The sequence below is a fragment of the Homo sapiens genome, chromosome X, assembly GCF_000001405.40.
Source record: "Homo sapiens chromosome X, GRCh38.p14 Primary Assembly".
NCBI classification, from domain to species: domain Eukaryota; kingdom Metazoa; phylum Chordata; class Mammalia; order Primates; family Hominidae; genus Homo; species Homo sapiens.
The window spans coordinates 8,521,459-8,535,426 of record NC_000023.11 but is presented as its reverse complement, the minus strand read 5'-3'; the positions used below and the strand labels follow the sequence as shown (position 1 = coordinate 8,535,426).

Here is a 13,968-nt window from a genome sequence, read left to right as displayed (position 1 = left end):
AAATGTGACTGCATAGCTAAGAAGTAGCATAAGCTGCCATCTAGATAAAGTTTGATGGCTAGAGCCAACTCATGAAAAGACCTTACCCTATCTTGTATATAAGTGATTGAGCCATTTTCTTCTATCTTTGTTAACCTCATGTCTCTCTGGTCCAAGTGAACATGCCCTGTTTGAAGTGTTGAATTGGGGAGGGCAGGAATAGCTAAAAGAAGCTTGTTGTTTGTCCGTCTTCCCCGCAACTTCAAATTTGGCTCGAGGCTGTAATGAGTTGGCCTGTCTTCCAGGCCACTTAATTCCTTGGCTTCAAAAAAAAAAAAAAAAAATCATGTGTGGGATTTTACCCTCTCTGAAAATGCCCTTAGAATAGCCAACTACCGTTACAAAATCCAAAAAGAGGGGCAGAGAGGGAAAGAAACACAACTTAAATCTCAGAAGGAAAAATTCCATGGAATTAGAGAGTAGTTATTCTATAAATGTACTAGGTTTTATTGAGTTTTGAGAAGAATATGTTGGCATAAAAATAAACATTTTCAGTTATGGGCATTGACAGATACTGTGTTTTAAGAAAAACAGTTGGCTCATTCACTGAAATTTGGACTATCAAGAGTTCACATCACAAGATGTGCAGCTGAAGACTTTAAACCATGGGAAAGTTTTACGTTAAGGAATTAAAAAAATAAATAAAATCCCAGGAGTGAGCCCTGAGAACTGGCACCTCAGCATATTTTAACTCTGCCAAGTGTCTTAGGCTGCCAAGAATTGAGTGAGGTGCTAAGAAACCATATGGCAGAGAACCCCCACAAATGAGAAATAGTCTATAAATTAAACTATGCCTTTACAAAGCAACCAAACTTGCCTGTGTATGATATTCTCCAGTGGGGGAAAAACTGTTCTAGGCTCTCTGTGCATTGCATGTTGTCTCTGAAAGGTTGTCGGTGAGCATGCTCTTTTATGTTGTCCCCTTAGGATCATTATGTCCTAACAGTGCCCAATCTGAGACCATCTACTCTTTACCGACTGGAAGTGCAAGTGCTGACCCCAGGAGGGGAGGGGCCGGCCACCATCAAGACGTTCCGGACGCCGGAGCTCCCACCCTCTTCAGCACACAGTGAGTGGGGTGCCAGGGCATTAAGCCATCCTGTCAGGTCTTGTGGACATAGAGAAAAATCTTGCTGGAAAATGAAAACAAATAAATACACTAGTACAGGTTTCTATGAGATAGGGAAATTGTCATCATCTGAAATTCTTTCTCCCTGTTTGTACCGACTTACTAGATTCTATTCCAGGCACCTGTAGTATACATTGCATAGTTGATGCTTAATTGTTCTTTTTCTCCCTCCCTCCCTCTTCCCCGCTTTTCTCCCTTTCTTTGCTCCTTCCTTGTTTCCTTTCTCCATCCTCTCTCCCTCCCTCCTTCATTCTTCCCTCTCTTCTTTTCTCCTTTCCTCTATCCTTCCTTTGTTTTTTTTTTCCTTCCTTGCATTTTCCCCTATGTAATGCATGCTTTTTTCCTTGTCTTTTAAACCATAAATACATATGGGAAAAAAATCTGTAGTCTCATATCTGAAATATTTTTAAATCAAGATTTTCATATATCACAATATAGGAAATAATATTTTGCTAAGGAACTTATGTTCTTGTTACATAGATATTACTGTAATAAATATTATGAATTTTCTTCATGATATGACCCAAGTCCACCTACTTCATTTATTGCTAAATCAAGTAAAATTTAAAAAGAAAATTGTCACCTAGATTTTCAAAACAGCCTCTTGCTGATTTTTAAATTATGTACTTCGTTTACTTTATTTTCTAGCTTAAATTTTTTAAAAAAGTGTCTGATGACTAGTGTGTGGACAAAACATTGAGAATTAGTCATAGTTTTAACTCTGATTTTTTTAAATGATAGATTGGTATGCTTATAATTGATAACTTGGTATGCTTATAATTTGAAGAAAAACAAAAACTATCACAATGGGAGAGCTTGATAGCCTCTAAAATTTTTGTCAGATAAATGCTTTTCTGATATTCCTTCATAGAAATTCCTTTTAACAGAAGTATTTGATAATTTTTAAACTTCTTTGAGCAAATAAAAAAGGATTATGGTTTGATTGGATAAGTGTGAGCTTAAGGAAAGGAGCTTGTCTTCTTTTTCTTGTTATTTTATAGTTTGGGAAGACATCAAAGAGGAAGAGAAAAACAGGAAAAGGAGAGAAAGAGTGTGGTTGTACATTCAGATTCAGAATAGGAAAGACATGGTCATAGGAAGGAACATTTGCCAGGGTCTCGTGCTTTTTCTACAAATAAAGGTAATTCTATCATTTATTTGATACATACAAATGGATGTGACTGACATATTTTGTCACTTTTTAGGATCTCATCTTAAGCATCGTCATCCACATCATTACAAGCCTTCTCCAGAAAGATACTAAACTGTTCAAAAAGATTTTGTGAAATTGCACAGATGTGTAAGCTTGTTGAACTTCGGCCACGAGACATGCACACTTCCAGAGGCAGTGGGAACTGCTCAGAGGCCCGGACTCTCCTATGTGACTTTAGTGCAGGAAGAACTTCTGTCAATCATGGACGCATCTGGAGACAAGTGAGAAACAGTAGATTGGTGAAGACAGACACCAGTTCCCTACAAGCATGGAGAAAATGAAGAATAGGCCTGTTTAATGCTAAATTTTGTTTTCATGTATGGTGTCGCTCATTTCTATTGAATTACAACAGAACTCAGTTTTCCCTGAATTTGGAGCACCAAACTCCGCCCCAAAAAGGAGAGTAACAAATACACAATTCACACATAACACTAAGCGTAAATCTAATCAATAAAATATATTTTTGACTAAATTATTGATTCGATATGAAAAATCAACTAAGATTACACAGCTTTGTTTTTTTGAATCTTTCCTAAGATCATTTTTATCCTAGGTGATTTTTAAATGAAAATGTGTAATCTAAAATATACCAGCGAATTTAAATCTAAAAATGCTCCTACTTTAAGTACCTTGTGCTGCTCTTTATGCAAAGGTAAATCAAAGTTCCCTCTATAAATTATGATTTACAAAAGACACCCAAGCCAGAGGAACTCAATGAAATAAGCTGCTAATCAGATTTTACCTTGGAGAAATGAAAATTATTTCTTGGGGATGCCTTTTAATATTTGATCCTATTATGTGAGAGATTTTCCTGATATGTTATCTTATTTATATTTTCCCTTATTTTCCTCAATGCAGATAATAGCTTTTGGTGCACTTTTGTTTCACCATCTGAAAATTCACAAAACTTCTTGCTTCAAATGAAAAAATCCCAACTATTGAGCATGTTTAAATCTTTGCAGAGATTTGCCTTTTCTTAATCAAAGAAAGGTCTTTGTGTGCTAGAATATTATTGGTAATGTTTTAAAAATTCCTTTGATTGATAGAGAAGGACAGTTATTTGCATTTAATTCACCCATATGCTTTCAAATCTAGTATATCTTACTTTTTGGAAATGTTTTATGCTACAAATTAGTGCCTTGTAGCATGAACTTAAGTCAAAACGTGTTATCAATATAGAGTGTTGCAGTGTATATTGTAACAACCTAAAACGCAGAGAAGTTTAATTTAATACTGTTTTTTTTCTTGAAGGAATACTCACATACATGGTTTGAAATGTGCATAGATATGCATGTCTATATAATTATAAATGCATGTGTATATATATGCAAATATATGTACATATACATGTATATACACACAGACACATGCATATACATGAATATACCTTGAGCATGAATCCCTGGAGAAATCGTTTTCGTAGCTCACCAATGGTGAGTAAAGATACAGCTCTTTTAAAGGTCATAAGGATAATATATTTTCCCCATCAATGCTGATTCTGAGAAAAGAGCAATTTATCAAAATTAAACACTGTAAAAGAAAGGTGTCCATATGTCTTTACCTACCTAAGTAAAACAGGAAGAAAATCAGTAACATTATCCTTAGGTTTTGACAATGGTACTTGCTTCTTGTTGTTTTATTGTTTCCTGAATTCATGCAGATGCCTGGCCATTCCTGGGAAGAGTGGATAACTCAGAAGTCACTGTACTCCACAGAGCCTCACTGCAGTGTCTAAAGGTAGATGCAAATTAAAATGCAGGGAAAATAACTTTTCTGATGTTGATGCATGTCTTTGGGAAACACATTTATAAACATGGATACCTGATAATAGATATTGAAACCCATTTCCTGTGTGTTAAAATATTTAAAAAGTGGATATTCCAGGAATGTTTTGCAGCTTTGTACAAGTAACATAAATTGGACACCTCAGAATGAAAGTTCATGTTGGTTCTGAATGGTTCACTGCAGCTCCTGTCACAAGCTGGGATGGATTTATCACATTGAGTTATGAAATTACCTGGTTCTAAGAATTTTTGAGTGGCAAAAATAGAAAACAATCTTCATTTGAAAACATCCCTAAGCTTGAATAAATGGATACCATAGATAGCTTCTCTTTTTTATTCTGGTGTCATTACCAGCATCTGAATTTCAAGTTCTTAAAATTTCAAAAATTAAAATTTTTCATTATTAGCTATCCATTTATCTTTTACATGAACTTGTCATGAACAAATTCAAATGTTTATGCCAGCAAATTTTTGTACTGTTGCATAGTTAAAAATGCTGGGAGTCTCTGCATAGATACAAAATATTATTAAATTATTACATAAATTTAATTTTATAAAATTTAATCATGCTTCTTTTGTCTGGGTAATAGACATTGGACAGATATTTTTAGTTCAGATGGTGATTCTGAAGCTTACATCTCCCTTAAAAAAATCTAAAGCAGCTCTTATGGGCTTCTAATTTTAATATAAATAAATAATTTAAATTTTATTGGTGTTATTGGAAGAAAAATGCTATTAATGGGCTAATAAAAAACATGTGTTTCTCTTATGGATTTTAATAAGCTCCAGTATTATTCAAATGATCAAAAATATAGTTATAATTTTTTGAATTTTAAAAATGTGATTGCTCTAATAAAGAATAAAATCTATGCTTTTTAACAAACATAGTTTTGGTGCCTAATTCTGTAATATGTTTTATTGAAATTAGATTCATTTCTCTAATGTGAGAAAAATATATCCAGTAATAGTATTGACTGTTTAAAAAATTGAGCTCATCAAAAATATTGTCATCAAATACAGGTGGTTAATCTGACATACATTGCAGTTACATGCATTATTTTTATTTACAACATTTGCTCCTTAATGATGAATTTATCTGTGTTACCCTGTTTTTCTACCTGGAACTCCATAGAATGATGTTTGCAAACCAACATGTGCTCTTTTCAGTCATTCACTGTTTTAATATGACATGGTAGAGAAGATAAGGTTTATGGCAGGTAATTTTTTGTAATGTGTATTAAACGAAGTTCAAAGATTAGAAATACATCTGTGTCCTGAAAACCTTAGATACATAGCCGACTGTATACAGAGGTTCATCTCAACCTCAACACTATTGACTTTTGGGGCTGGATAGTTCTCTGTTGTGGGGGTTTGTCTTGTGCACTGTAGGTTTTTAGTAGCATCCACACTTTCTCCTCACCAGATGCCAGTTGCACCCTCCCCCAAGTTGAGACAACCAAAAATGTCTCCAGATATTGCCAGCTACCCCTTGAGGGATGGTACCTCTGGTTGAGAACCATTGCTAGAGAATGATCTTTACTGAATTTGCCCTTTATAAGAAACCCAGTGAATTTCTAGAGCAAGTCCCAAAAACTAAGGGACAGCTAAGAAGTTATTATGGTTGACTTCAAAGGCCTAAACTGTGTTTTTTATGTCCACTAAACAACTTGATTAAAAGACGGAATTTTGACTCGTGTCTGTATCATACAAGTACAAATACTAATTTTGCCCTATGTATCCGTAAATGTCATTTGTGATTTTGACTTATTTATTTAATGCCCTTTCTTATGCCGTGGGTTTTCAAGTTTACTCATTTCTATGGTTGCAAATAACTCTAAAACTTATTATATAAACTTTCATATTATAGGCAGAACACAATGGCTAAATATCTGTTGCATGTACTTTAAAGTTTATTATAAAATATAAACAGATATATAAAGATGTTGACTCTTACCTGTGATTTTGCATGGTCAGACTCGGTGTCAGGTACGGAGAGGATTCTCATGACTGTCTTACCTCTACTGAATATTCTAGTGAGTTATATGATTTACGGAGTGATTAACAGAGGTCTATATAAAGTTACTTTTCCCCTTTACTTAATTATATTGTAGTGTGCAGATAACAAAACTGCTACCTTCTCATCCAAGTGGTCTGTAGAATTCATGTCCCTTACAGTGGTCATTTAAAGTCAATATTTATTTATGTATGTAATAAAAAAAGTTGGATTTTTGTGTATGTCTGTCACATTATTTAGAGAGAAGTAATCTTGTAAAAATGTTTTGTAAAAAACAAAAAAGTATTGTAAATAGTCTTGATATTCTGTGACTCATTATTTTCATGTTAGAGTTTGTACATACTGGTTCAATAATAAAGTATCCTTAAACCAGACCAAGGAGTCGACTCATTTATTTCTTAAAGAAACATTTTTGCTGGGCACAGTGGCATGCACCTGTAGTCTCAGCTACTCGGGAGGCTGAATCTGAAGGATCACTTGAGTCCTGAATGTTTGAGACCAGCCTGGGCAACATAGCAAGGCCCTGTCTCCAAACTTAAAAAAAAGAAAAGAAACTTTATTGAATTTAAGAGGAAAAATGGACAGTTCCTGCTGCCAAGGAGATTCAAAAAGTCTCTTTCCATGTCAGTGTTAATGGAATTTGAGGTCTGGTAAATGTTAACAAGACAGCACTTCATCCTAATGAAAGTATCTTGGAGTTTGACAACCAACACTTCAGATTTCTATCATCATGTTTACAATTGTAACTCCTGATGGTTTTAGTGGTATATTAAGTCAAGGATATACAATTTTAAGCTGTTTTTCTTTTGCCACCAATATTTACTCCTAAAATTGTAGATATATGCAATGCCAATAAGCATTCACCTGTATTTCAATACTACTCAATTGTTTTTCAATACTACGTACTATACTATAAGCCTTTAAATCTCCATTATCTAAGTAGAGTTTTGAGAGGCTTGTACATCCCCACTTTGACATGCAATTGACCCATAATTGCTGATGAATTGGAAAAAATGCCTAAGAAAAAAAAGCATAAGAAATAAAGGCTTTTAGGGCATTCACCAAAATAATATATATTGTACCCATTAAGTAATTTCTCTTTACTCCCACTCTCCCACCCTCTGACCCTCCCACCTTTCCAAGTGTTTATTGTCAATTATTCTACATTCTATGTACATGTGTACACATTATTTAGTTCCCAATTATAAATGAGAATATGTGGCATTTGTCTTTTTGTGTCAGCGTCATTTCAATTAAGATAATGGCCTCCATTCCATCCATGTTGCTGCAAAAGACATGATTGCATTCTTGTTTATGGCTGAATAATACTCCATTATGTACATAGGGACCACTTATATGCTGTTGGTCATAATGTAAATTAACATGACCTCTATGTAAAACAGTATGGAGATTTCTCAAAGCACTAAAAATAGAACTACCATTTGACCTAGCAGTCCCACTACTGGGTATCTACCCAGAGAAAAAGTAATCATTATATGAAAAAGATACATGTTTATCACAGCACTATTCACAATAGTAGAGGTATGGAAACAGCCTATCAAGGCTATCAGTGGAGGATTGCTTGACGCTTTTATGCCATCTTGAAGTTACAGAAAGAATGGGGGCTCGGATCTTGGCAACACAATTTATGGGAGGGAGAGAAGAGAAGTCCTGACTAGCAAAGGTGGTCTTGTTACGCAGATGAAACCTCCCAGGTCGCAGCCTTTAGAGAGAATAGATGGTGACTGTTTCTTTCAGACCTTAAAGGTGTTAGGCTTTTAGTTAATTTTTCCTAGATCCAGACACGGGGGCAGGGAGTGGGTGTCAGAGAAAGCCTGGCTGCAGCAATGCATCAATGCAGATTTTCTCTACATCTACAGATGCCAATTTCCCCCACAAAAGACAGCTTTGTAGGGCTGTTATTTTCAGGCCCTCTGAACAGCCATCTCTAAATATGTCAAAGAAGGGTTATTTGGGGGTGAAATATTTTGATTTCTTTCAATGGCTGCTGCCGCCACCCTACAGCATGAGCACCCATGCCAGTGGCCCCAGGCTTGACCCTCCCCAGTCCCTGAGGCCTGAATTTCCTGGGAGTTTTCCTGGGAGTTCTTATCCACTCATTCTCTGAGGCTTCACCCAGCCAATCAGCTGCACAGCTTGGGCACCTCACACTGGTCTCCAACCTCCATTCTTCATCAAAGATCAGAGAGGCTGGGGCTACTGACCCAGAGATCGGGCTTGAAGGCTGCAATAAGAATCCAACTTCCTTCACATTCTTTTACTTCTTGAGCTACACCACAGGGTAAGCAGGTTCTTAGGGCCAGTGGAGTGTCTTGGCAGGGACCGAAAACCCAAGAAATATTTTTAGTATTGTTTCCATTGGGGAGGTATTTTTTTACACAAATGAGTCCTGAGAATACAGCTTTGTTGTAAATTGGAGACAACTTCTACATATACCACCCATTGATGGAGCATGGTATCAAAGGAGAAAAAGCTGTAGGGGATACAAGAAAAAAAAAATTTTTTTTTTTTTTTTTTGAGACGGAGTCTCGCTCTGTCGCCCAGGCTGGAGTGCAGTGGCGCGATCTCGGTTCACTGCAAGCTCCGCCTACCAGGTTCACGCCATTCTCCTGCCTCAGCCTCCTGAGTAGCTGGGGCTACAGGTGCCTGCCACCACGTCCGGCTAATGTTTTGTATTTTTAGTAGAGACGGGGTTTCACCGTGTTAGCCAGGATGGTCTCGATCTCCCGGCCTCCCAAAGTGCTGGGATTACAGGCGTGAGCCACCACGCCCGGCCAAGAAAAATTTTTGAAAAGAGTAAGAGGCCAGGCATGATGGCTCACACCTGCAATCCCAGCACTTTGGAAGGCTGAGGCGGGAGGATCACTTGGTCCCCGCCTGGGCAACATAAAAAGACTCCATGTCTGCAAAAAAAAAATGGAAAATTAGCTGGACATGGTAGTGCACACCTGTAGTCCCAGCGACTTGGGTGGCTGAGGCAGGAGAATCGCTTGAACTCACCAGGTATTGGCTGCAGTGAGCTATGATCACATGATTGAGCTCCAGCCTGGATGACAGAATGAGAACCTGTCTAAAAAAAAATAAAAATAAAAATTGTGCCCTCTCTTGTGCAGAAACACAGAGAGTGTGCCTGCCTATCCTTTCTCTGCCTTGGTATTCCCACCCAAAGTAAGGATTTTGCCACTCACTTCATGGTTACTGTGAAGATGGTCATGTAACAGTGCTTGGAAAAATCCACGTGTGTGTGTGTGTGTGTGTGTGTGTGTGTGTGTCTAAAAATGTCAGATTGAAGACACCAAAAGCAATCATAACAAAAGCAAAAATTGGCAAATAGGATCTAATTAAACTTAAGAGCTTCTTCATAGCAAAAGAAACTGTCAACAGAGTAAATAGACAAACTAGAGAATGGGAGAAAATATTTGCAACTTATGCATGTAACAAAGGTCTTACATCCAGCATCCAGCACCGATAAGGAACTTAAACACATATACAAGAAAAAAATATCATTAAAATTTGGGCAAAGGACATGAACAGACACTTTTCAAAAGAAGACATACATGTGGCCAACAAGCATATAAAACAAAGCCCAATATCACTGATCATTAGAGAAATGCGAATCAAAACCACAATGAAATATCATCTCACACCAGGCAGAATGGGTATTTCATTAAAAAGAAAAAAATAGCAGGTACTGGCAAGATTGCAGACAAAAGGGAATACTTATACACTGTTGGTGGGGGTGTAAATTAGTTCAACCATTGTGAACAGCAGTGTGGCAATTCCTCAAAGAGCTGAAAGCAGAAATACCATTTGACCCAGCAATCTCATTACTGGATATATACCCAAAGAAATATACATCATTCTACCAAAAAGACACATGCATGCAAATGTTCATTGCAGCACTATTCACAATCACAAAAAACATAGAATCAACCTAAATGCTCATCACTGGTAGACTGTATAAAGAAAATATGGTACATACACACCATGGAATACTATACAGCCACAAAAAAGGAAAAAGATAATCTCCTTTGCGGGAACATAGATGGAGCTGGAAGCCATCATCCTTAGGAAACCAACACAGGAACAGAAAAGCCAATACCACATGTTCTCACTTATAAGTGGGAGCTAAATGATGAGAACACATGAACACAAAGAAGGGAACAACAGATACTGGGACCTACTTGAGGGTGGAAGGTGGGAGGAGGGAGAGGATCAGGAAAAAATAACTAATGAGTACTAGGCTTAGTACCTGGGTGATGGAATAATCTGTACAACAAACCTCTATGACAAGAGTTTACCCATATAACAAACTTGCAATTGTACCCCTGAGCCTAAAATAAAAGTTAAAAGAAGAAAAAGAAAATTGAATTAATCATATAAAAAAATTAAAATGCCAAATCACTAAGGTGGGGGTGGGGGTGGAAGGTTTGTAATCCCTAAAACAATTTAGAGCAACTAATAGAAAATTGAGTTGGTTGTATTTGTACCAACACTTCTTGATATTCAATCCCTGGCAGTGACAGAATGAAATTTAGAATAAGATGAGGAAAGTGAGCAGTTTATGTAAGATCTGTGTAATAGAAGGTTCTAATCTACACAGAACACAGTAAGAAGAATTTGGAAAAGCAAAATCTAAGAATGGAAACAAAATAGAATTAAGAGGGCATTTAGAAAGTAAGGCAAAGAAAGACTAAGATAAGGGTGGGGAGAGAAGGAGAGACCGTGAAACCAAAGACATAAGTACTGAAGACTACAGTTCTTTTGCATCATGACTAAGGGCCAGAGGTCTGATTTAGGTGCCACAGCAAATTTTGAAATGGGAACACTGTAGAGTAAATGTTACTGAGTAAATTTTACATATATTCTATGTATGAAATTGAAGTAGTTGGGAGAACTAGAACTGATAAGGAACAATGTGGAGTCCAGGGCTCCCTGTGTTTTGTGAAATTTAAATTCAAATCCAAGCCCTATGTCATTTGCCAATCTTCTTTAAAGGAGTCTCTCCCTCTCTCTCTCTCTCTCTCTTTTTTTTTTTTTTACTTTGTATTTTGAGAAAATTGTAGATTCACATGCAATTGTAGGAAATAATAGAGATTATGAACTATCCTGAACCCTTCATTTAGTTTCCCACAATGGCGACATCTTTCAAAACTACAGTATAGTATCACAACCAGGAAATTGACATTGATACAAACCATATCCTTTATTCAGATCTCATAGATTTGATATACACACAGTTCTGTGTGTGTGGGTGTTTGTATGTACTTGGTTCTATTCAATTTTACACACAAATTATTTGCAATCTGTTTACACAAATGAGTCATTGTGTTTTAAGTAGATAAACATCTAAGGGACACACAATGACTTAAATAAATTAGTTTTAAGGAGGTATGGCAGATTTTTGCACATTTCCCTAGGGCTGAGTGCAATGTACTTTGTGCTGATTTTAACTTTAACATTCTAGGAATGATCGACTCAATATGCATGTGATGCCATCTTCAATTTCTGTCAGTGAATTGTTTTCATAAAGTGGCCGAGCACATAACAAGTCTGTTTAGAAAAATCCATCTTGTCCAAGGAAACAAAATGTTTGAGTACGTAAAAATCTATAGATTTGAAAAATCATTTCACTGAGAGAAATCCTGGTGCACATTTATAGTCTAGACGTGGATTTGAGAAAAGAAAAAGAAGAGTGAAATCCTTTATTGGCTAGAAAACTAAAGATTGCCCAAAGTAGGAAGAATAATCGAGTTTCAGATTAAGGTAATACTTAAAGATTGAGTTTTGCACAATTGACTCTGATTATTAGCATGATTCTGACCCTGGGTCAGAGGCTTTCAAAACTGGCTGCCTATTAGAACTCCCAGGGGAGCTTTTAAGAAGTCCAGTGTCCTCTGGCACCTAAAGATCAGGAGAGAAGTATGGACATTGCACATTAGTGCTAGTTTAAAGGGTCCCCAGGTGATTCTAATATGTGCCCAGTGCCGCAAACCACTCTTCCAGACCCTGAGAAGCTATTGAATGATAAATGTTAGAAACATTCCTGCTTGCAGAGCTGAAGAAGCAAAAAGTCATATTGAAGCATCACATTTTTATCTCAGTGCATCAGAATATACTGAAGTTTTTCTCCTCAAATTCCCTGGATTAAGTTACATATAAAGATGTAGATGCAGACATGAAAATGCATGCAAATACATACACATGTAGATAAATATAGGTAGAGCTATCACAGGCGTCTTCCTTTCGATCTTCTTTTGAGTATAATTTGGAATTTATCCTGAGAAATACTGATAAAATATAGGGCTAGGCAAATGTAATTTGGGATGCTGTCGAGTGTTATTAGTGGAAACGACTTCTCTTTTCTGAGCCTTGTGAAATAGCTTCCAAGGGGCAGCTGGTAGTGATTTAAGGGCAGTCACAGAGACAGCCAATTAGCATTGATCAGTCATTATACTTATAGCACCAGACTATCATGCAATACAAAACTGATGCCGACTTGACCTTTTCATCCCCTATATTTCCTTCCCCATCTCAAACAGCAGCCAATCATATGCAATGGGCTTCATTATGAATAATAGGAAGCATCTTACATTCCTTCGTAGGGTGGTCCACCTCGGTATGGCACAGGATGCTTCACAAGGCCCTGCCTGTAGCTTTTTGTAGTTTACTTGAGAGACCACTAATGGAATTAACCTCTACAGCTAACATTTACTGAGGAACCACTAATTGTAAGGTACACTAAGTGCATTATTGACATTCCTTCATTCATTTCTACAGCCACCCTATGGCTGGCCATATTTTAAAGCTGAGGACAGTGAGGCAAAGATCATTTAAACCAGTAGCCCAGGCTGGGCGCAGTGGCTCATGCCTGTAATCCCAGCCCTTTGGAAGGCTGAGGCAGGCGGATCACCTGAGGTCAGGAGTTCGAGACCAGCCTGGCCAACATGGTGAAACCCCCTCTCTACTAAAAATACAAAAATTAGCTGGGCATAGTGGCATGGCCTGTAATCCCAGCTACTAGGGAAACTGAGGCAGGAGAACCTCTTGAACCCAGGAGGCGGAGGTTGCAGTGAGCCAAGATTGCACCACTGCAGACTGGGTGACAGAGCGAGACTCCATAAGAAAAAAAAAAAAAAAAAAAAAAGCCCAAAGTCATATAGCTACCGAGTGGCAGAGCCTGAAAATAATCCCAGGCCATTGAGTTCCAGTGTCCTTGTAGTTAACCACTAATCTTTTCTGCCTGTCAGACTGTCCTCCAATAAGGGCAAGTTGCAAAAGATACTACATAGCTTGTTAAATCTATGGGTAAATATGCATATGTGTATGAAATACTCTGTATATATGCATAGACTATATATGTGTGAAATACGCTGTACTACTGCATGAAATACCATTTATATGCAGAGTACTATGTATTATATATATGCATGAGATACTATATATATTAGAATATTATATATCATAAAATATGTTGTATGTATGTATAAATACTGTGTATATATGTATGGTATACTATGCATATAAGTATGAAATTTGATATACATATGGAATGTATATGATAGTAAATGTATAGGATACTAAATATATTATCTATGTAGAGGTGGAGAGCAAGTTAAATGTCAATGTGACTTGATATGTTCGAGGTGTTTTTTTGTTCTGTTTTGTTTTTGTTTTTTGAGCTACACTTTACTGATTCCATCAGAATCTGAACAGCGGGATGTTCTGAAAGATTTTGAATTGATTCTAATATGCGGCTGGAGAGACA

At 36.9% G+C, this 13,968-nt stretch overlaps 1 protein-coding gene across 1 annotated transcript in view; it reads left to right on the top strand.

Moving 5' to 3' along the window:
* The window catches only part of ANOS1 (anosmin 1), a 203,264-nt gene extending 196,711 nt beyond the window's left edge, over positions 1-6,553 (top strand). The window contains exons 13-14 of the mRNA NM_000216.4: positions 967-1,108; positions 2,374-6,553. Coding sequence (NP_000207.2) covers positions 967-1,108; positions 2,374-2,432 — 201 coding nt within the window. The 3' untranslated portion in view covers positions 2,433-6,553. The remainder of the gene's footprint in view (positions 1-966; positions 1,109-2,373) is intronic.